We start from the raw sequence: 23,173 nt of genomic DNA, 5'->3' as shown, positions 1-23,173 counted from the left end.
AAGATCACTCTGGATACTAGCTGAGCAAGAGCCACAATAAGAAGATCAGTTAGGAGGCAGCTATTATGGGCAACCAGGCTGGAGTTGCTGCATCTTGGTCGAGGGTGGCCGGAGTAGAGGTGGAGGGACAGGCGTAGATTGGGGCTGTGCTTTGGGGATACAGCCAACAGACCTTATAGATGGGTTGGATGGCTGATAGAATAAAGGGCCAAAGTTGACTCCTAGGCTTTTCCTGGAGGGCTGGTGGGTGGGGATGCCAATGACCAAGATGGAGATGACTGGCACAGAGGGCAGGAAGCATGTGCCCTAAAGGGAAGCAAGACAGCTCACTTTGTCCAGGTAACGTTTGAGACGCCTGTGAGACATCCAAATGGGGGCATTGATTCTGCAGCTGGAAGGAGTCCTAAGCTAGAAAGAGATCTGGGAAAGGCATAAGAGGGCAACACTGTAGATAGCAAAGAGGGTCTGGGCACTGCATGCTGGACACCATTGTGTTGATCAAATTTAACAACATGGAGAAGGCACTAAACACTATGCCGGGTGCAGTGTGCACCTTGAGTGATTCTGAGCACTGGGGCCTCAACAGCGACCACAGCTACCCAAGGCCACTCTTTACGATAGGGTAACTCTACTGCTACTGGGATAACTAGCCTTCCATCACTTTTGCAATTACTGTTACTATACCAGAACGTTTCACGATATGGGCTCTGGAGGCCAGTCACCTGGATTCAAATCCTGGCCTTGCCACTTACACCCACTGGCTGAGTGGCTTGGGACCAGTTACTCAACCTCTCTATGCCCCAGTTTTCTCATTTGTAAATGGGAATAATAATGGTACTTAACTCATAAGTTGGCAGTGAGGTTCACATTGATAAATGCTAAGCACATAGCAGAGGGCCTTGTTCATAGTTATGACTCAGTGAGGGGTATCTATCATTGTCATTCTCACTGCCACAGCCTCACTGGCCACCATATTGAGCCCTAACTAAGTACCAGGTCCTGCATTACCTGTTGTAATCCTCACAACTCCCAAGGAGGTTAAGGTAATGTTATCTCCTCTTACAAGTGAGGAAACTGAGGCCCAGAGAGGTGCAGTGCTTTACCTGTGATTACACAGCTTGAGAGTGGTGGAGCCAGGATTCAGCGCAAGTCCACGTGCCTAACAGCCATGATCTTGACCACCACCCTCCACTGCAGGCAAGGATGGTGGCCTCTGGCCCACAGCAGGAGACTCACAATGATGCTGTGATTTCCAGAGCTTCTCCAGCCTGATGGTTCAGGGCCTGAGAGCTTGGCCTGCAGGTGCAGGCATCCCCTGCATGGCTCCACCAGTCAGGGACTGGCAGTCTCTTGCGGTTTCCCCTTGACCTTCCATGCATTCCTGAGGAGAGAAACCTCTGGGAAAGGGCCTGAGGTCATTCTGTTGGACAGATGCTGCTTCAGGGTGGGGGCTGGAAACTACTTTTCCATCCTATGAAGAAAGCCAGACCCAAGGTTCACCCACCTCCACTTAAGCACTGGTAGCTGGACCAGCACTTTTGAGGCAGCACAAAGGCCCCCAGGCAGAAGAGAAGGGAGCAGGAGGAAGCGTCTCATGCCTGGAAAACCCCATCTCCAGGGTCTGGTGCTTCCAGGAGCCTGCTCCTAGCCCATGTCAGGAACAGGATTATAGTGACTGAGGCCCAGGAGGCAGACAAATAGGTGGGTAATGGTGTGGGCCTGGAGTCACAAGGTCTTAGGTTCAAACCCTAGCTCCAACATTTAGTAGCTATGTGACCACAAGGAAGTCTTAAAAACTCACTGAGCCTCTGTTTCCTCATCTGTAAAATGTGCACGATAATACCTATGCTCTCGAGGGTTTGAAGATTAAAGGGGAAAATGCAGGTGAAGCATTTTGCACAATGCCTGGCCCATAATGAAAGCTCACTAAGGAGTGTCATGTAATCAAATACCATGTCCTGTCTACATTCTTCCCCTCAGAAGGATACCTTAGGTGGCTGTAACTATAGGAGTCTGGGAGCAATAGTGATGTTCTCAGAATTGGTCATTTCTTCATTTTAAGGAGTGTCATTGATAAAGCCAAGGATAAATGGGCAGAGTCCAAAGCCCCCAGGAAGAGGGGACTGAAGAAGTTGAGCAAGTTCTGGGGGCCCCAGCATGTTTAGGCACACGAAACCATTCACCACAAGAAAAGGGGGTGGGCCGCAACTTTGGGGCACTCCTGCCCTGGTGCTCTCAGTCTTGCACTGGAATTGGAAGATGGTGGCTTCTCCTTTGGGGCCTGTTGGCATCTTCATTTCCACAGAGGCTGAGGGGTCCTGGGGAAGATGATATGAACAGAAGCCAATTCCAAGGACCCCAAATCTTCTAGGCATGCAAGATGGTACCCTAGAGCTGGCCTGAAGTAGAGAGGATAATGTCCTGTTTTCTCCATTTCCTGCCTGAAATTTGTCAGTCATTGTAGAGTTAACAGAAATCAAAGAGGATTGAGGGAGAGTTCTCTAAAATTATGGCTAATTGAAGAGATTTCCGTAGAACTTAAAGTCGATCATAAATAAAGTCATAAACTTGGAAAGGCAACTATCAGCATAACACACCTGCACCTGAGAATATGCATGACTTAATGGTGGTGCAAAATGCCCATTGCCAGAGAAGGAGAAAGTGTAAATGAATATTTTAGGACTATGGTGTCAGCTGAAGGTTATATTTTATGACTCTGGAGTTGTAACCATGAAATATGATGCCTTGTCTAAAGTGGGAGAAAACCTCCAAACAGCTTTTGCAGGATCTTCAATCAAAACAGGATGATGCAAGGGCCAGGGTGTCGGATGAGCCCAAGAGGCAGGGATGGCTAAAATGGTAAAGGTGCCGCCTTCAGAGGAGACTGGTAGCTCTGGCCAGAGGATCTCAAGTTCTCAAGTCCTCAGTTCTAGCACAAGTCCAGAAATCATTGCCTACAGTTGGGAAGTTTGAAAATCTCGGGATGGCTTACCAAACCACTATCAAGCAGGGATGTGGAGGAGACTACCATCCTGGTACCAGAGACACTCAACTGAAATCTTGACTCAGCCACTCCCTATGTGACCTTGGGAACATTACTTAACCTCTCTGAGCTTCAGTTTTCTGTTACATTTATTTGTTCAGCAGATATTAGTCAAGTGCCTGCTGTATGCCAGGAAATCTGCTAGGTGCTAGGGACAGAACAGACATGGCCTCTGTTCTCATGGAGTTTGCTATCTACATGTTAACTAAGTAATGATATAATTGATCAATTAATTATGGAAAATCATTAATTATGGCAAAATATGTGGTGCTCAGAAAGTATATGATGGGGGAGGGATTATTCTATTTCTGTAAAGATCCTCGAGGAAGCAGCACTTGGATCGGGACCTAAAGGCTGAGGGCGAGGGGGCAGTCAGGCCCAACGAGATAGGGAAGAAGTTTCCAGAAAGAGAAAATAACACTTTCAAAGGCCCTGGAGCAAGGCAATGCTTAGTGAATCGGAAGAGCTGGGAGGAGGCCAGGGTGGCTGCAGATAGTAGGGACAGAGAGACTGGCATGAGGCAAGGCCCTGTAAGGTCCTTGTGAGTCATCGGGTATTCCACTTTATCCTGAGTGACAATGGGGGTTATTGATGGTTCCAACAGAGAGAGTGGTGTAATCAGGCCCATGGTTTCCCGTATTACTCTGGCCTCTGTGAAGAATGGACAGAGGCTGCAAAGCAACCTACAGATTCAATGTAATCTGTATCAAAATACCCGTGTCATTTTTCACAGAAATAGAAAAAACAATCCTAAAATTCATAAGGAACAACAAAAAAGCCTGAAAAGCCAAAGCAATCTTGAGCAAAAAGAACAAAGCTGGAAGCATCATTCTACCTGGCTTCAAAATATATTACAAGGCTATAATAACCAAAACAGGATGGTATTAGTATAAAAACAGACACAGACCAATGAAACAGAATAGAGAGTCCAGAAATAAATTCATATACTTACAGCCAACTGATTTTCAGCAAAGGCACCAAGAACATGCATTAGGGGAAGGACGCTTGCTTCAATAGTGCTGGGAAAACTGGATAACCATATGCAGAAAAATGAAACTAAACACCCATCTCTCACCATATACAAAAATCAACTTAAAATGAATTAGAGACCTAAACTTAAGACCCCAAACTATAAAACTACTGGAAGAAAACTTAGGGGAGTTATTCCAGGAGATTGGTCTAGGCAAAGATTTTATGGCTAAGACCTCAAAAGCACAGGCAACAAAAACACAAATAGACAAATGGGACTATATTAAACTAAAAAGCTTCTACACAGAAAAAGAAACCATCAACAAAGTGAAAAGACGACCTGTTAAAGACGAGAAAATATTTGCAAGCTATTCATCTGAGAGGGGACTAATGTCCAGAATGTACAAGTAACTCAAACAACTCAACAGCAAAAAAATAATAATAATAACAATCCCATTAAAAAGTGAGCTAAGGACATGAATAGACATTTTTCAAAAGAAGACATTAAAATGGCAAACAGGTATATGAAAAAATGTTCAACATCTCTGATCATCAGGGAGGTGCAAGTCAAAATCACAGTGAGGTATCATTTTACCCTAGTTAGAATGGCTATTATTAAAAAAGCAAAAAACAACAGATGTTGGCAAAGATATGGAGAAAAGGGAGCTCTTATACTTTGTTGGTGGGAATGTAAATTAGTACAGCCATTATAGAAAACAGTATGGAGATTTCTCAAAAGACTAAAAATAGAACTACCATATGATCAAGCAATTCCACTACTGAGTATTTATCCAAAGGAAAGGAAATCAATGTATCAAAGGGATACCTGCACCCCATGTTTACTGAAACACAATTCATAACAGCAAAGATATGGAATCAACACAAGTGCACACCATTAGATAAATGTATAAAGAAAATATGGTATATGTAATATATATGTGTGTATGTGGTATACACATACATGGTGGAATACTACTCAGATGTTAAAAAATGAAATTAGCTAGGTGCAGTGGCATGCGCCCATAGTCCCAGTTACTTGGGAGGCTGAGGCAAGGGATCTCTTGAGCCCAGGAGTTCAAGTCCAGCCTGGGCAATGTCCAGCACAACTCCATCTCTATTTTTTTTTTTTAGAAGAGTGAAATCCTGTCATCTGCAGGAACATGGGTGGAACTGGAGGTCATTATGCTAAGTAAAATAAACCAGGCAGAGAAAGACAAATATCACCTAACACTCATACGAGGAGTTAAAAAAGTGGATCTCATAGAGGTTGACAGTAGAATGATTGATAGTTACCAGAGGCTGGGAAGGCTGTGTGTGTCCAGGATTGGAGGATGTAGGGCATGAAGAGAGGTTGGTTAACAGGTACAAATACACAGTTAGGTCAGTGGTCCCCAACCTTTTTTGGCACCAGGAACCAATTTCATGGAAGACAATGTTTCCATGGACAGGAGGTGGGGGATGGTTTCAGGATGAAACTGTTCCACCTCAGATCATCAGGCATTAGATAACTTGCTCAACACTCACCTCCTGCTGTGCAGCCCAGGTTCTAACAGGTCCCGGTCCATGGCCTAGGGGTTGGGGACCCCTGAGTTAGGTAGAAGGACGAATAAATTCTAATGTTCAATAGCAGACTATGGTGACTATAGTTAAAACAACAATGTATATTTCAAAATAGCTAGGAGAGAGAACTTGAAATGTTCCCAACACATAAAAGTGATAAACTCTTGAGGTGATGGATGCCCTAAATACCCTGAATGGATCATTACACCTACTGTGTTAGGCTTTTCTTGTATTGCTGTAGAGAAATGCCTGAGACTAGGTAATTTATCAAGAAAAGAGGTTTAATTGACTCATGGTTCCACAGGCTGTACAGGAGGCATGGCATTGGCATCTGCTCAGCTTCTGGGGAGGCCTCAGGGAGCTTTTACTCATGGCGGAAGGTGAAGTGGGAGCAGGCACTTCACATGACCAGAGCAAGAGCAAGAGAGGGAGTGAGGGAGAGGTGCCACACAATTTTAAACAATCAGCTCTCGAGATGACTCACTCACTGTCACAAGGACAGCACCAAGCCATGAGGCATCCATCCCCATGACCCACACACCTCCCACCAGGCCCCACCTCCAGTATTGGAGATTACATTTCAACGTGAGATTTGGGAGGGACATTCAAACTATATCACCTACTATGCATGTCAAAAAATAACACGCATACCCCATAAAAATGTACAAATATTTTATAACAATAAATTTTTTAAGGGAGTGCTCCAAGATAAAGTTCTCAATGCAAAAAAAAAGTATGTGAGTTGATTGATATGCTAATTAGCTTGATTTAGTCATTCCACAATACATACATATATCAAAACATCACAGTGTATTCCATAAGGACATACAATTATTGTCAATTAAAAATAAAATTTAAAAAACTGAAAAACCAAAAGAATGGATGGGCTGGAGGAGGAAGGAGGCTTGGAGACCAGGAGGGGGCTTCATGGCTGTGGTTAACTTGGAGTGTGACATGGCTTGGGGTACAGCAATGGCAGTGATGGCGGGGGACAGGATTGACAGCCACCTAGATGGACTGCCAGCTGAGTCCCTGGCTGGATGTGGGGGTGTGGGAGGAGTTGAGGATGTCCCCTGAGCCTCTGCCATGAGGAAGTGGGTGAATAGTGCTGACCCTCCAAGATGGGAAAGTCTGGAAGAAGGCTAGGCTTCTGGGAGGAAAGGATGAGAGTGATTTTGGTTGGGTTGGGTTTGAGAGCAATGTGGAATATCTAGTTGGGTTTCTAAGACTGGAAGTAGGCAGAAGGCTCTGGAGTCATTGTCTTTCCCCCAAGACCTGCTTTTCTTCTGGAATTCTTTGTTGTCCACCTGGATGTGCAGGCCAGATTAAATGAGACTATGTGGACCAAGGGCCTGATTGGAGACTTGGCCACACAGAGTGGCTGTGCCTGCTCCTGAGCCACTCCCTCCCCCTCTAATGTTTCTCTTTGGCCCCTGCTTACTTTCCACCTGAGTGCCCCTCCCTTCCCACCTTCTCTTCTTTCAGGTATCTTTGCTTCTGCCTGCTCCATACAGGTCTGTTCAGTCCCCAGCCTTCTCCACTCCTGTGGTGGGAGCTTCCCTCTCTGTCCTGCTGATTCCCTGCCTCACAGTCTCTGGGATCCCAGGCCCATAGGTATCCCCATCTGTTTATTCCCCAGGATCTCACACTCAGCATGGGAGTGGGGAAGAGCAGGGAGGAAGGGCCGTCACTTCCTGCAGAGCTGCGTCTCCTCTAGCGTCCCTGTCTCTGCTCTCTCCTTCACCATCCATTTTCTGTTGGAGACTTCACCCTCTCATTCCTCCACAGTCTGCCTCCTAAATCCCTTCCTGCTGCTTCTCTTTCCTCCCTGCCTAGTTGCAGCTTTGATGATGGGAAAACCTCTTCTCCATTCTCTGTCTCTGATCTCCCCACCGGCAACCTTCCCTGGCCACCAAACCATATCTTTCATCCATTACTATGGGACCAAATCATCTTTCTAAAATAGGTCTGGACTTGTACTTCCTGCTGAAAACCCTCTTCTCCACACCTACCATGACTCCCCTGCACCTGCAGAGGAAAGTCCAAACACCTCGGCAGTGCTGTCAAGGCCTTCCCCCAAGCAGCATGCCCTTCCAGGCCTTCTTGCCTCTGAGGGCCTGTTTGCTCTGCCTGGAACCCCTCTATTTCTTCCCCTTCCAGCACACTCCTGTGCTTTTTTGAAGGTTCGGGCTAAATGTCCCTTTCTTCACCATGATCCCTTTCCCCAGTACAGTCAAGACTCAGCCATTGTGCCCAGGGCGAAGACAGTTCCACCTGGTGTAGTGAGGGCCAGTGACAGGACTGTTGGGGACCAGTGGGCCCGGTGCTTGCTCGGAACAATATTGGCAAATCTCCCACTTGTTGGCTGGCTCCTGTGGCTTATCTCCCTGGTAATGTTCATGGTGAATTTATTTACATCAGAAGGCGACAAACTCTGCCTCAGATGTCAGACATCATAGCCTCCTGCCAGAGAGATACTCAAGGCAGAAATACTGTGCAACTTGATAAAACAAATCAACAGCACCACTGAACTGGATTTAAAGCCAAGCAAGGCCAATCTTGCCTACCTTCCCTCCCTTCCTGCTTTCTGGGGCCTGGGAAGCTGGGTTGAGGGTAGCAAAGGAGGAAGAGGGGAGGAGAACAGAACCTCAGCTCCTCTACTCGGCATTCAAGGACCTTCGCAGTCCAGCTCTTGCCTTCCTGTCCAGCCCAGCTCTGTCATCTCTGCATGTCCCTTTCAGTTCAGACGGTCCTGCCTAATAAGTCCCTAAACATGCCACACTCCCCAACTTGAACTGTCCTTGCTGTTTTTCTGCCTAAAACACCCTCTCCCCTGAGGCCTACCAGGCAGGCACCCTCAGCTGATGTATGCTGCCAGCTCAGTGTTGGAAATGAAGCCAGACTCTGACTATGTCTCACTGTTACCACCTGGTCTTAGCCACCATCACCTCTCACTGGATTATTGGGGTAGCTTCAAGAGGCCCCCACCTTGTTCCCTTGCCCTCTCTGGTCTGCTGTCTACATGGCATCCCAAGGGATCCTGTTAATACACAAATGACATCATATCATCCTCAGCTCAGAACCCTCCACTGGCTTCTCAACTCATTCCGAGTAAAAGTCCACATCCTTACAGCGGCCTCTCAGGCCCTCGGAAGCCCTGCCTCCCCTGCCACTTTCCTCCTTCTTCCTGCATTCCAGCCCTTTGGGTCTCTTTTTTTTTTTTTTTTTTTTTTTGAGACAGATTGTCGCTCTTATTGCCCTGGCTGGAGTGCAATAGCACAATCTCGGCTCACTGCAAACTCTACCTCCTGGGTTCAAGCGATTCTTCTGCCTTGGCCTCCCGGGTAGCTGGGACTACAGATGTGCGCCACCACACCCAGCCAACTTTTTTTTTTTTTTTTTGTATTTTTAGTAGAGACAGGGTTTCATCATGTTGGCCAAGCTGGTATTGAACTCCTGACCTCAGTTGATCCGCCCACCTCGGCCTCCCAAATTGCTGGGATTACAGGCATGAGCCACTGCGCCCAGTCCTTGGGTCTCTTGATGCTCTTCAACGGTGCCAGGCCTCTGCACCCTGGTGACCTTTGCATTTGCTGCTCTATCTTCCGTGAATGCTCTTCCCCCAGGTAACCATGTGTCTTCCTCTCTCATTCCTTCAAGTCTTGGCTCAAATGTCAACTTCTCAGTGGGGTCTTCCCTGACCACCCTTTCTGAAATATCCACACCCCCACTCCCAACACCAGATAGCCCATTTTCCTCTGCACTTACCAGCTCATTTACTATAGAGTTAATTATTTATCTTGGAGTTGTCTTTATCCTTCTGACCAGAATGTAAGCTCTGGGAGGATAGGAATTTTTGTTTTATTCACAGCTGAATCCCCAGCACCTAGAACAGTGGCTGACACATAGTAGGTGCTCAGTTAGCATTTGTTAAATGAATGAATGAATAAGTGAATGAATATATTAACACAAATTCTGTCTCTTCCATAAAGCCCTTCCTAACTATGTGCTATCACTGCGCCTTGAGCATCCCCATCATAACTATTCTGTGTTGCCATTGCTGGCTTGCCTGCCCACCTCCTCCCTCAGAAGCATTTGAAGGCAGAGAGGAAATCAAGCTTTTCACATTGTAGTGCTGGCCCTACCCAGTATTTGGCCCACAGTAGGTGCTCAGTTAATGGGTATAGGAGGGAAACCTTCATAAGCACCTACTCTGGGAGAGTAGGTGTATATCTTACATTTCTGCACTCATAGAAACTTAGAAGTTAGCATTGAGAAATGCTATGAGTTGGCTCATGATTCTCTTGACCCTGTAAAGAACATTAGTAAGAATAGTTCAGAGCTGCTAAACAAGATCACTTTTATCTCTAGCCCAGATGGCTCCTATATATCTGTTAATCTGATCTCACCATTGGAGGCCCCACAGACATACCCACTTCTGCGTGTCCAAAACTGAACTCCTGGTTGCCTTCCATACCACAAGGAGCTCCCTTCCTGGGTTTTCTGCCTCAGGAAATAGCACCTTTCATCCATCCAGATGCTTATACCAGCAACCTGGATTTTATACCTCCTAGTTGCTGAATTCTGGAGATTCTGCTTCCTAAATATCTCTCAAATAAGTCCTCTCCCACCCTCCACACGACCTTAGCTCGATCTCATCCAGCCTCACCTGGACTGTGGTGGTTTTGGTGATACCAAGAGCATCCCATGCGCTTCCCTGACTCAGACCTCCTTTATACCATAGCCAGTGTTCTTTCTAAAATGCAAGTTTAATCACATTTCTTCACTGCCTTTGATCCTTAAGATGAAGTAGAAGGAAAAAGGAGAATCTAGCATTAGCATCTACCCACATGTCAGTCACTGGCTAATGCTAGTTACTGTCACATTAACTATCTAATTCAGTTATCACAACAGAGAAGCAAACTGAGCCTTAAAAAAAATAAATTTCCCAAAGTTATGCAGGTGGCTGGGAAATTGTGGAGTCTAAATTCAAATCTAGACCTTCCTTACCCTAAAATCCATTTCCTTTCCAATGCACTCCCCTGTCTCCAAATCTTTTTGGCTCAGTGTTCTCTGCCATGTGACTTCTCCTACATGCCATTACTATCTTATATTATTCATCTTTTTTACCCTGTGATGAGTCATCTAGAGCTGTTTATCTTAGACATGCCTTGCACGTTCATATGTCTCTGCTTATGACCATTTGGTTCCTTCTTCCCTGAAATGTCCTTCCCCCTCTTCTCCATCTAGTGAACTCCTACTCATTCATCAAAACCCAGCTCTAATGACACTTCCTCTGTTAGGCTTCTCAGATGGACTTGTCCAAACAAAGTCATTTGCTGCTTTATCTATGTCCACAAACTGTGAATTGTACTCTTGGGAGACAGAAGGATGTATTGCAGGTATAGCCCATGGTGAGTGCTAGGGCTTGAAAACCAGACTACTCATGTAAGCCTCTTCTCTCTGTGCCCACAGCTGATGATGCCTGTGGTGGGACCCTGCGGGGCCAGAGTGGCATCATCTCCAGCCCCCACTTCCCCTCGGAGTACCATAACAATGCCGACTGCACATGGACCATCCTGGCTGAGCTGGGGGACACCATCGCCCTGGTGTTTATTGACTTCCAGCTGGAGGATGGTTACGACTTTCTGGAAGTCACTGGGACAGAAGGCTCCTCCCTCTGGTAAGCACAACATCACCTTCCTTTCCTACCCTATTCTCTGCAACTGTGAATTACTGGGATGCTTGCAGTCTCCTCAGTGCCTGGACCTGCAGCCAGAGGCCTCTTAGCCACTTCCTTATACCTACTGTTAGAGTCCTTTCATCTCATCCTAATGAAAAAGCACTGCATATTTTTAGAGCTGGGGTAATTTTTATAGTGATTTTGATATCTGATTTGAAACATGTTCTTGCTGAAGATTTTTATGATGGGTCTTGGTTGAATAACTTGCATTAAGACTAAAAATGTTCTGGTCTCAGGATGTGGACAGGGTCTAGTAAAATGATTCAAAATATTGTTCCATTTCTGGAAGACATATGCATAGCATCCAAAAAGGGACTAGAACCATAAGTGACCATTGCTGAGACTAGAACATTTTTAGTCTTAATTCTTCCCACTCCAAGGGTCCTGATACATCAGAAAGGCATTATGTCCCAGTGTCTGAAGGGTAGGACTTACTTTCTCCCTCTTGTTCTGGCTTTGCTAAAAAAGTGCAGGCTCTTCTGTAGTGTGCTTCATGGAGAGTCTCAGTTGTTGATGGGTTAGGGAGGATATGAGTTATTGAAGCCATCGTTGCTTATCCCAGACTTGGGCTTGCAGGATGTGCTCAAATTGAGGATGGCTTGAGGAAGTATCTGGCTTTCTGTTTGGGTGAGAAGCATCACAAGTGGTATTGTGGCATTTGGAACACTCTCTTGTATTCTCATTGTGGCTGTGTTATCAGGAGGACTTTTGTTAGCACATGAGGAGCCAATAGAAGGATATGTCCAGGTGTACTTCAAGCAAGGATGGGGCATCGTTGGAGCCTTAGTTGCTGCATAGTGTCAGGTGAAGGTGGGGATTCCACTTCCTGATGTCAGGCAGGAGTCACGGCGTTGGCTACCAGGGGGTGCCGCAGTGGGAATAGCGTTCTGGTGGAGGCCCTGGGTGCGGGGCTGGGCCCGGCCAGGTCTGGCGGGGCTGTGCTCCAGGAGTGGATGGACGGAGGGCATAGGGGTGGGAGGAGGTGTCACTGAGGATTCTGAGCGGAGCAGAAAGTGGGTGTCTGCAAGAGTCAGAGAAGACAGAGACGTGGCAGTCAGTGGGAGTAGGGAGGAGGAAGATGGGAAGGAGAGGAGAAAAGGAGGGGAATGGGGCACGTTTATTGCACACCTTCCCTGTGCCAGGTTTCATGGCGGTAGGAACACCAGTTGAGTGAGACATGGTTTTTTAAGGAGCTCATTGTCTATCTATCTGTTAGGTAAGAAAATCAGACAAACCCATGGTAGGAGCCAAGTGTGACTATTAAATATTTAAGAGGGATAAAGGGGGAATGGATTCTTCCCAAGTATAGGCTCAGATTTGGGAACTAGCATAAGCAGAAAACTCAAGTTTCCTGGTGCAGTGGAAGGTGAGCCGACATGGGAGTCAGAAGACCCTGGTGTCACCATGAGCTTCTCACAGGAAGCTGGCCAGGTCATTTCCTACCCTGGTCAGAGGGCTGAGAGAAGCACAGGTGAGTGAGGACAACCTGCTCTGTGGAGGATGACATTCTATAAACTAGTCCAAGAGGAAAAGCTGGTGATTTTAAGCTAGGAGTTGGGTTGAAGGTTAAGGTGAGTCTTCACTCAACTGGAATCCTGATGATCTGCGCAGTGTGAAGACCCTTGGACCTCTGCCTCTTTTGTAAAATACCTGTTTACTGACTGTAAGTGTAATGCATATGCTCCTTGTAGAAAACATGGAAAATCTACAAAGGTATGGAAAAATTAAAATTATTACAATTTTGATGTACTCCCCTTTGACCTTTTTTCTTGGCCTAGATTAAGCTAGCTGGCTATTTATATATATTTAATATGACCAAATTAGGATCTAAAAATATCTGTAGTTATATATTTTTAGCTAATTATTGTGTCATGAAATGTTTTCCTGTACCATCACAGATGCCTCCAAAATATACAAGGTCTGATAATAATATCATTTGTTGACCCTTTACTACCAATATGTGCCAGACAGGTTATAAGCTCTTTAGAGCTATAATTTCATTTCATCTTCATAAAAATTATATGAAGTAAGTAGCATAGTTTTCCTCCTTTTACAGAAGAGGAAAATGAGGCCCAGAGAGGTTATACTACCTGCTTGAGATCACACCGGCGAGTAAGGAGCAGAGCTGGGATTCAACCCCAGGTTAATCTGATACTAAAGGCTGTCTTCCAAGCCATGACAGCATGCTATTATGACATGCGATATCTGTGATGAGTTTTCCGGGCTATGTAGCATTCCCTTGTAAGACTGTAGCATAGTTTACTCATCAGACCTCTTGTTAGGTGGTTCCCAAGTTTTCACTTCTATAAACAGGTGCCAAGACGAATACCCTTGCCAGTTCCCTGTCTTCCAGTCCCAAGGCCTTTTCGACTCACTTGTTTATCCATGGGCCAAATGGTCTCCTACAGCTTCTGCCCTCCAGGTGTGAGTCTACACGTTGTCCAAACTTTTGGAGTGAAACAAATCTGAAAGAGTTCCTTTTCCTATTAAGTCACTCAGTGGGGAAGGAATTAAGCAGAGGAAATTATTAGGGGAGTCACTCAGAACTCTTTGCTATAAGATTACATTATAATTATTTACAGGGTTGGTGTCACCACTGCCAGGATGGATGCATTTGTTGTTCTAATTTATACTTGCATAGCAATTATGGATAAACAAACTTGGAGACTCAGGACGTATGTGTGGGAAGAATCAGCTCTCTCCCTTGCCCCTCTCCTTTATGGATCCCTGGATTCCTGTAAAAATTTGATGCTGCTGGTTTATGAGTATACTGCTTTTGTAAGCATACATTAAGATTTCAGGATGTTCTCTTGCATTCTGTGCCAAGGCATAGAAAAACAACAGATCCTGTTAGCAAAGATGGATTTGGACAACTGGGCACCCCCTTCACCTATCAAGAAGACAAGAATTCCTTTGAGAGAAAAAAAAAATCCACTACCTCCCTTACCAGATAACAAGTTCCCACTGATTCAGAAGGGAGAGTGGCATGCAATGTCCCTGACTCAGTTTCCACACTCTTCCCCTCCCCCTAAACGGGATAGCAACAAATTAGGGCTTCTGGACTAGTAAAATTTCCAAACAATTGGAGAAACATAGGATTGGTCATTTTTTATTTTGCCAAGTAAGGATGTTAGAAGAAAACCTGCCAACTCCTCAGAATATTATTCATAAAACAAAGGACAATTCAAAGCCAAAACTGTGGCAGGAAATAATCAATTGGAAGTGTTGTCCTGACATCATGAAAGATAAGGTGCGGGGAGCACACATAAATAACAGTATGTGCCCATCACTGGAGTGGCCAACAGTATACATGCAGCAATCAGTGGGCCAGTTCTCCCTGTTTTGCTGGTCCCGGTCCAGCCTTTGGGAATCCAACAATACATGTTTTGAACAGGAAAAAGCTGTTACTGTGGTGAGCACTGAACCCTGTAGCTCTGACATGTTGAGCTATTCCCTAGTATTTTAGACTTACTCCCCCTAAAAGTTAATTGCATTTTTGTGTGTGTGACCATGAGCAAAAGCTGGGCTTGGACTGACTGAGGGTTACAACCCACAGAGAAGAATTGGTATTACACCCTGACTACACATACATGTGTGCAGCCCTCACCCAACATACACACAAACACACACACACACACACACACACACTGCCAAATCGTCTCTGACACATACCTTTCCAAGTCACTGCCAAATTCACATCACCAAGTCATCCCTCACCCCCAGACCACCTTAAGCACATGTACACACCTGTCCCCCCTTACACACAGTTCCATTTCCAGTTCAATGTAGGAGCCAGACTTTCTCTCACTGACCCTGCTGGAGTGTGGGGGTGGTGGGTTTTCTTTCTCTGCTCTGCTCTGACCCAGTCACTTGGCTCTGACCATCATGGAGCTCCATTCCTTTCCATCACGTTCTAAGAAAACACTCTCACCTTTGATAAGCTTCCTCATGAAGCCCCAGGACTTTTTCAAAGGACTGGGACTGGGGATACAGAAGACCCTTTTAACAATATGGGGATGTAGGTCCCTGAAGGATATCAGGATCACGTTATACTGAGTAGAAGTGATCTCCAGCCCATCACAGAACTGACCTCTCCATTGGTTGAGAAAATCAGCAAAGTGAAGCCCCCTGAGAAGCCACTAGATCCAGAATCTGTCTCCTCTTTCCTCTGTCTCATACCCAACACTCTCCATCTGAGTCTCTCCAGAACCATCCCCAGATTAAAAGAGAGGAGGGAAAGCCAGACATCCTCTCCTAGAATATAGGAGAGGAAGTTTGTGCAGTTTCTCTGGAATTAGATATCGAGCCTGCACCATGGCATCGAACTGGGAAGGGGGTAGGCTTGGGAGTCAGCAGAGACACTTGGGCTCAAAACCAGCCACCTCTCAGTAGTTGTGTCATCTTAGGATATTTACCAGCTTTTCTGAGCCTGTTTCCACATCTGAAAAATGGGTCTCAGTATACCAACCTACAAAACACTTTGAGAGGGTGAAACGTGGCAACTGCTGCCTGGCTCACCATAAGTACAATACTCCTGGAATGAGGCTTTGAGAGGAAAAGAGTAAGATGGAGCAACCCCAGCAATTCAGAGCCTCGTTGGCCCTATTTTTGGTGGTCCCACTGAAGCCAACATATGAGCTTTCCAGCCCAGTGGCATCTCACCAGCAGAAAGGCACAGCCTGGCTGCCCTGACTCTATCTAGCCTCAAGGGGAATTGCCTGGAAACTCAGATAAGGTTAGTGTGGGGAGAGTCTCTGGGTGAGACTGGAGGATGTCCTTGCAAAAGTTAGAAGAGGGGACAGTGATTTTGTTGGAACTATCTTCCCAGAGCTGCACTTGGCAAGCACATTATGGATAGCATCACTTCTGTTCCTGGATCTAGCCCCACACTGGCCAGTTAGCTGCTTTGTTAAGCAGAAGAGGGCCGGATGCAGTGACTCACACCTGTAATCCCAAGACTTTGGGAGGCTGAGGTGGGTGGATCACTTGAGTCTAGGAGTTCAAGATGAGCCTGGGCAACATGGAGACACCTGTCTCTACAAAAAATACAAAAATTAGACGGATGTGGTGGCACACACCTGTAGTCGCTGCTACTCAGGAGGCTGAGGTGGGAGGATCACCTGAGCCCTGGAGGTAGAGGCTGCAGTGAGCTGAGATTGTGCCACTGTACTCCAGCCCGGGAGACAGAGTAAGAAAGACTCTGTCTAAAAAGCAAAAAGAAAAAGAAAAGCAGAAGAGGATTCTACCAATTCAGCTACCACTAAGAGCTCTGTGCAGGACTAGGAAAGCAGAGGTACTCCACAGTGAGTCAGGCACAGCCCCTGTACTGGGGTGCTCACAGAGTAGGGGGGCAGGGACCATAAGTATGGAGAAGGCATTCAGGAGACAACTACCAGAGATGGGAGGGGCATCTCTGCTTGTGCCCCCTCGCTCTCTCTGGACCATGTGGTTGGAGGGTTCTATTGGGCCTTCTTCTCTCCTTCTTTCCTCTACCCCTCCCCAAGGGGCAAATTCTTCCTACAACAGGGAAGGCAGACAGAGTCTGACCTGCACTCAGAATTGAAGCCACTCTTGTCTTGGGGGCCAGTGGAAGTGCCAGCCTCAGGAGTGTGTGTGGGGGGGTGTATGATGCGGGGGTCGTCCAAAGCTCCTTTCCACCCGTGGGATTTCTGTGTAGATCCTGGAACAAACCTCTGCCCCTCCAATTTCCTTGGCTGTGACTCTGTGGGTTAGTTTTGGCCAGTGGTTCCCAGTCTCTCTTCCTTGCCCTGGCCACTGTATATTGATTTTCTTTTTTTATCTATTTCACTCGGATCACCCTGGATGGGCTCTGCCTGCCCATTCTCTATGTCCCCACACTCCCAGGCCCAGTCCCCACAAAACTGTGTGCTAATAAACTCCACCAAACATTCAAAGTAGGAAGAGAAAGGAGAGCACCTTCCAGGGCTCAGAGGAGGACACTGTCCTGGGGCAGGAGACCAAGGCCTCAAGGCAGAGGCTGCACTTGAGACAGGTCGAGAAGGATGCATACCATTTTAATATAGGAGATGAGGTGGTGGGAAGCGCATTCTTCTAGGGCTTCTGCCTAGTCCTCCTGGCCAAAGTGTGGGAGTTCCTTGATCCCTGGGACACAGTCCAAGAAGAAATAGTCCCAGAAATTCTCTAAGGAAGATGCTGTCCAGCATGCACCCACCCCGGGGCTCTGGCATCTACCTTTGAGCCTAGGCATCTCCCTCCACCTGCAGAAGAATAGGATGCCTGCTCTATCTGTCTGGACTTCCCAGATCCTGGCCCTGTGGCCACTGGGTAGACTTTGGCTGTTTTTGGAAAGAGAATTTCCCTGGGAAGCAGGCTCAACCTACTCTCTAGGTCCAGCAAGTAACCCTTTTGAGTTTCAACATTAAATTTCCTTAATTTCATCCCTCCTTTTCATGTCCTTAGAGCTTTGACGGATTTGCTTCACTTCATTCCCTTCATTCATTTGCTTTTGTTTTTGTAGGTGGCGATACAAAAACTGTCTACTCTGCAGACGTTCACTTTGAAAATTTTGCTAGCAACACTCTTTCTCCTCTTGAATGATCTTGCTTTAATTATTAGGCATTTTACCCATGGAATTTGAGCCAACTAGAACCATTTGATCTCAGTGACGTTTAACTAGATATCTCATTTAAGAGCCATTAGATCCAGATATAGTTAGAATGAGAATTGCACGCCAATGGAGATTTGTTAATAATAACTATCCACTTATTTATTTATTCACATATGCTTTATCAAACCATTGGTTTAGCTCATTCATGTTCTTTGTTACTTTTCCCCTATTTATTTTCTGTAATCATTTATTGAGACTCTTCTATGAACGAGGCTCTCCTAGGTGCTAGAGGGACAAAGCCACAGTCTGGGTTCCTAAGGAGTTATTTATTCCTTCCACAAATGTTTATGTAATAGCCAAGCACTGTGCTGGACCCTGAAGCTCACAGTCGGGGCAAAGAGGCAGAATATAATTAAATGCTTTGCAATATCATGTGTTAGGTGCTTTTCTAAGAGGTATAAAGAAGTTCCCCTAGGAAATAAGGAGAAATGTAATAGCCAGGATTCTTTGGGTTTAAGAAATAGAAACCCACCTCCAGCTAACTCACGCTACAAAGGGAATGTGCTGGCCTCTTTAACTGAAAAGTCCAGAACTTGACTTCAGGCAGTGCTGGATCAAGGTATGCAAATAATGTTTCTCCCCATCCCAAGGCTTTGCTCTCTTGTGTGTTAGTTTCATTCTCAGGCAGGCTTTCCCAAGAGGTGGCAAAGGGGACCACCCTCAGCTCCCTATAACCTACCTCTCTTGGCAATCCCAGCAGAAAGGGAGCATATCTTTCCTAATGGGTCCTACAAAAGCCCTCGGATAAACCTTGGTGGACCAGCCTGAGTCATGTGCCCACCCCTCAATACCAGTGTAGCCAAGGGATGTCCTCATTGGCTGGATCCAGATCATGTGACTGTCTGCCCTCCCCAAAACTCAGGCTGGGAGTGGAAGCCCTGGCAAGACAAAAACTAAGACTGTCCTTGAAACAAGTCATCAACCTTCCTGTAAGAGGGCGGTGATGCTGGAAGGGCTCGGAAAAATTAGTCCCACAGGATGATTTTTGAGTTGAACTGAGGGGTAAGATTTTGCCATTGGCATGGAGCCGAAAAGAGCCCTGGTGCATTTGGGGCATTGCAAGTCAGGTGCAGGGAGCAAGAGAGGAAGTGCAGGATATGAGGCCCAAAATGAACACAGGAGGAGCATGGACCAGGAGCAAGAACCCTGCCCCTTGTTCATAAGCCAGAGAGGATTCCATAAGCTGTGGAAAGCTATTAAGAGACTTTAAGCAGGGAAGTAAAATAATCATTCTGAATTTTAAGTGGGTTAAACAGGAAGGCCCAGAAATCAGCTATAAAACTTTTTTTGTGACTCTGCAGGCAAGAGAATCCAGCCTTGAACTGAGGCAGCTATGAAGGGGTAGAGAGGAGGAGGGGCTGATGATTATCAAGTTCTGGCTGAATGACTATGGTGGGGCCATGTATTGAAGAGAGGAACACAGGAGAAGAAGTGGGCTGGGGTGGAGTGGGGAATGGCAATGCCCATTGGTCTCTCCAGCACAAAATGAGCACCAATAGGGAAGTCAAGGCTGCAAGAAGGAAGAAGATAAGGCTGGATGTGCTGGGACACAGCTGCCCTTGGTTACGAATTCACAGTCATTGGGATAAGACTGGTGAAGGTGGTCAGATAAAATCAACAGCTACACCTGAAAGCTTGGTGTTCAATACCCTGGCAGGACCATGAGCGGTCATCTTCACAATGAGCACCAGCATCGTCTTTCATAGGGAAAATCTCCTTCATTATGGTCACTGTCATCTTACCATTTCATCTTCATTACCAGCATCTCTCCATCATCATTCAATCATTCAAACAAACTACTCAGGCCCTTCTCCTGCTTGACATTGAACTTGGCACTGGGAATGCAATGGTGGAGAAGACAAGGCCTCTGCCTTTGTGGAACTTACGGTCTATTTGGGGGAGACTGAAGTTAGTAAAATATTCAAACATAAATGTAGAAAGTATGACACATGTCATAAAGGAAATGAACAGGATGGGGAATAACAGCAGTGGGGACCCTATTCTAAATCTGACCTCTCTGAGGAGGGTAGGATTTAAGCTGAGACCTGACTTTTGAGAAGGAGCCACAGGGGAAGAACTCAGGTGGCAGCTTTCCAGGCAGAGGGAGCTGCACATGTAAAGGCTTATCATCTCAATGTCCTATTTGCTCCTGAACTTCGTACATGGAGGTAGCATAGGCCTGGTACCTGTCCTCTGAGGTTTCCTCTTTGAATGTCAGGAGCAAGGCAGAGTCAAGGTCTCAAGCTAGCAGAGACACTCAGAAAACAGCTCAGATGGTGCATGACTAAGGATGCTGAACCCATGTTGGCTGAGCTGGTAAGCGAATAAGGCCCATTCTAACCGAGCCTCAGACCTCCTGCCTTCCTGTGGGCTTGTGACGCCTTTGCTTCTCTCTCCTTCCTTGACACATCACAACTCTTTAAGTCACACTAAGTAACTGTCCTTTTTTGATGGAGCCCATGAAATTGCATCTGCTGTATCCATCAGGAGCCAAGCCATAAATAACCAGCCCTTTAAAATCTCGTCTCCTGTATCTCTTGGAGTTGGAAATAGCATTACAAGCTCTGCCGCGGAGCAGTAAGAAAAGATTAGTGCCTTAGCATGCTGCTGGCACAAATGTGTCCGGAGGAGTGAAGGCCAGGGCTCCAGCACTCTACATGGAGTATCAATGTGACTTCCTTGCTTCCACTAGTGAGAACTTGCTCTCAAAAAGAGAACAAAAGTCACAGCTGGGAGGAGCAGGAAGTGAACTGGTGTTGTCGCAGTGGGCACAGCGGCTCTGCTAAAGCTTGTGACTTGGCAAAGTTCTGTGCATGGGAAGCTGAGGTCGGGCAGCTGGCCTGCCCCCCATGGGTCTGACTGCATGCAACAGGTTTGTACTAAGTGCCTCATCTGCGAGGCGGCCTGTGCCAGGACTGTGAAGGGCACCAGAGAACAAAATGCTGTCCTCGACCTCTCTTGAGGAGCTGCCAGATGCCTGATGGTGCCGCTAAGACAGATGGAAGGAGTTGTTCTGGGTCCTCCAGAGCCCCTTGTTCTGGCAAGACCTGTCTTCTGGAATGATGTTGCTTCATTCTGAATGTTCAAGGCCCCCTCCTGGTCTCTGTTTTCATGTTTGGCCATGAATGTTTGTTCCACTCACTCTCAGCTTAACCTACATGTTGTTTCACGTTGGTTTGCGTCTCTCCTGCTACTGCAACCACTTCCCAGGTTCCCAAGACTGACTTAAGTCTTCAGTTCTATCCCTTAGTCTGTACTTTTTTCTTTTTTACTTTTCTTTTTTTTTTTTTTTTTTTTTTGAGATGGAGTCTTGCTCTGTCAGCCAGGCTGGAGTGCAATGTCACAATCTCGCTCACTGCAGCCTCCACCTCCCAGGTTCAAGTGATTCTCTTGTCTCGGCCTCCCGAATAGCTAGGACTACAGGCACATGCCACCATGCCCAGCTAATTTTTGTATTTTTAGGAGAGATGGTGTTTCACCATATTGGTCAGGTTGGTCTCAAACTCCTGACCTCAGGTGAGCCACCACGCCCAGCCCAGTCTGTACTTCTTTTCATCCTAGTTTCTCTTTATCCAGTGGCTGATGGGTGACATCCACAGACTCACCAGAGAGGCAGGATTCACACAAAAAACTAGCAATGACAGTCCGATGAAATGGCAAAATCACCATTTCACATATGGTGAAACTCAACAGTTCAAATTCACATATGGTGGATCTCAACAGTTTGGGTCATTTGGGGAGGGAGAAGGCAGAGTTTCTTTGAACAAAATGAGGTGGCTTCATGGACGAGGTAGATCTCTAGCATCCCTGGGAATTTCTCACCCAAGCTTCTTGAAGAGTGGTCTACACTGGCTACCCTCAAGTCTTCTCTCCCCATTCATTCCTTACCTACTTCACTCCCACTCTTCAACCCTCCAGCCTCCTCCTGAAATCACTCACATTAAGATGATGATCAAAGGGCCGGGTGTGGTGGCTCTCACCTGTAATCCCAGCACCTTGGGAGGCCGAGGTGGGCGGATCACGAGGTCAGGAGATCGAGACCATCCTGGCTAACAGGGTGAAACCCCGTCTCTACTAAAAATACAAAAAAAAAAAAAAATTAGCTGGGCGTGGTGGCAGACGCCTGTGGTCCCAGCTACTCGGGAGGCTGAGGCAGGAGAATGGCGCAAAGCCAGGAGGCAGAGTTTGCAGTGAGCCGAGTTCACGCCACTGCACTCCAGCCTGGGCGACAGAGCCAGACTCCGTCTCAAAAAAAAAAAAAAAAAAAAAGATAATCATCAAATAACCAACCCCACCCCTACCCCATTCCAAAGACTACCACTTCCAATTACCAATGCCAGAAGGCGTTTTTCAGGTCTCACCTTCTGGACATTTCTGCATTACTTTACACTGTCAGTCATTTTCTCCTCTGGGGGCTCTGCTTTCTGCTTGCCTCCATGCCACTCTTTCTGATTCTTCTTGGATCTCTCTGGCCATTCCTTCCGTGTCTCCTTTGATGTCCATTCCTTCTTGCTGTACTGCTCTGCTCACTCCACACATCTCCCAGGGTAGTCTTACCTGCTCTCAAGATTTCAGGTACTACCTATTTCCTCCCAAATATGGCTCCCTAGCCCAGCCTACCCACTGAGCCAGTCAAACTGTAGAGCCAGCTACCTGATGGACATCTCCACTTTGATGGACCACCAATATCTCCAACTTAACTTGTCTCAATTTTGCTCATAATTGACCCATAAAATCATCAGTCTGTGTCCTTTCCTAGTTTATGGTACCATTCCCCACCTAGTTATCCAGAAATCTGGGAATATCCCTATTTAATCCCTCTCTCTCACCAGCCACATTCAATTAATTGCTAAGTTCTCCCAATATACTGTACCTTTCCATCCTTTCTACCACTGCCTGAATTCAGCCCATCATCTTTTCTTCTTTGAGGGATGTAATAGCCTCCTTACTGATCTCCCAGCATCTTGGCACTGTCCAATTCATCCTCCTCACTGCTACGAGAATGGCTTAATTAAAATGCAGATCTGACATGCTAAGCCCCAGGCAAAAGCTTTCAATCATCTTCTGTTGTCTACAGATTAAAATTCAATCCCTTGATAGGGCACACAAGGCCCATCTGGATCTAACCCTTGCCTAAGTAACCACCCCAGGCTCACATCTTGCCACTTCCTTTTTTAAATTTTATTAACCCTAAAACTCAGTGGTATAA

The 23,173-nt window shown here is 46.3% G+C and overlaps 1 protein-coding gene across 12 annotated transcripts in view; it reads left to right on the top strand.

The window, feature by feature from the left end:
- The window catches only part of CSMD2 (CUB and Sushi multiple domains 2), a 651,845-nt gene that overhangs the window by 236,494 nt on the left and 392,178 nt on the right, over positions 1-23,173 (top strand). For all 12 annotated transcript variants that reach the window (XM_047443685.1, XM_047443656.1, NM_052896.5 and 9 more), the window contains exon 5: positions 11,048-11,255. In XM_047443685.1, the coding sequence (XP_047299641.1) occupies positions 11,048-11,255 (208 nt within the window). The remainder of the gene's footprint in view (positions 1-11,047; positions 11,256-23,173) is intronic.

Source organism: Homo sapiens, chromosome 1 (genome assembly GCF_000001405.40).
Source record: "Homo sapiens chromosome 1, GRCh38.p14 Primary Assembly".
Taxonomy (NCBI): domain Eukaryota; kingdom Metazoa; phylum Chordata; class Mammalia; order Primates; family Hominidae; genus Homo; species Homo sapiens.
This window is presented reverse-complemented; position numbering and strand designations above follow the sequence as displayed.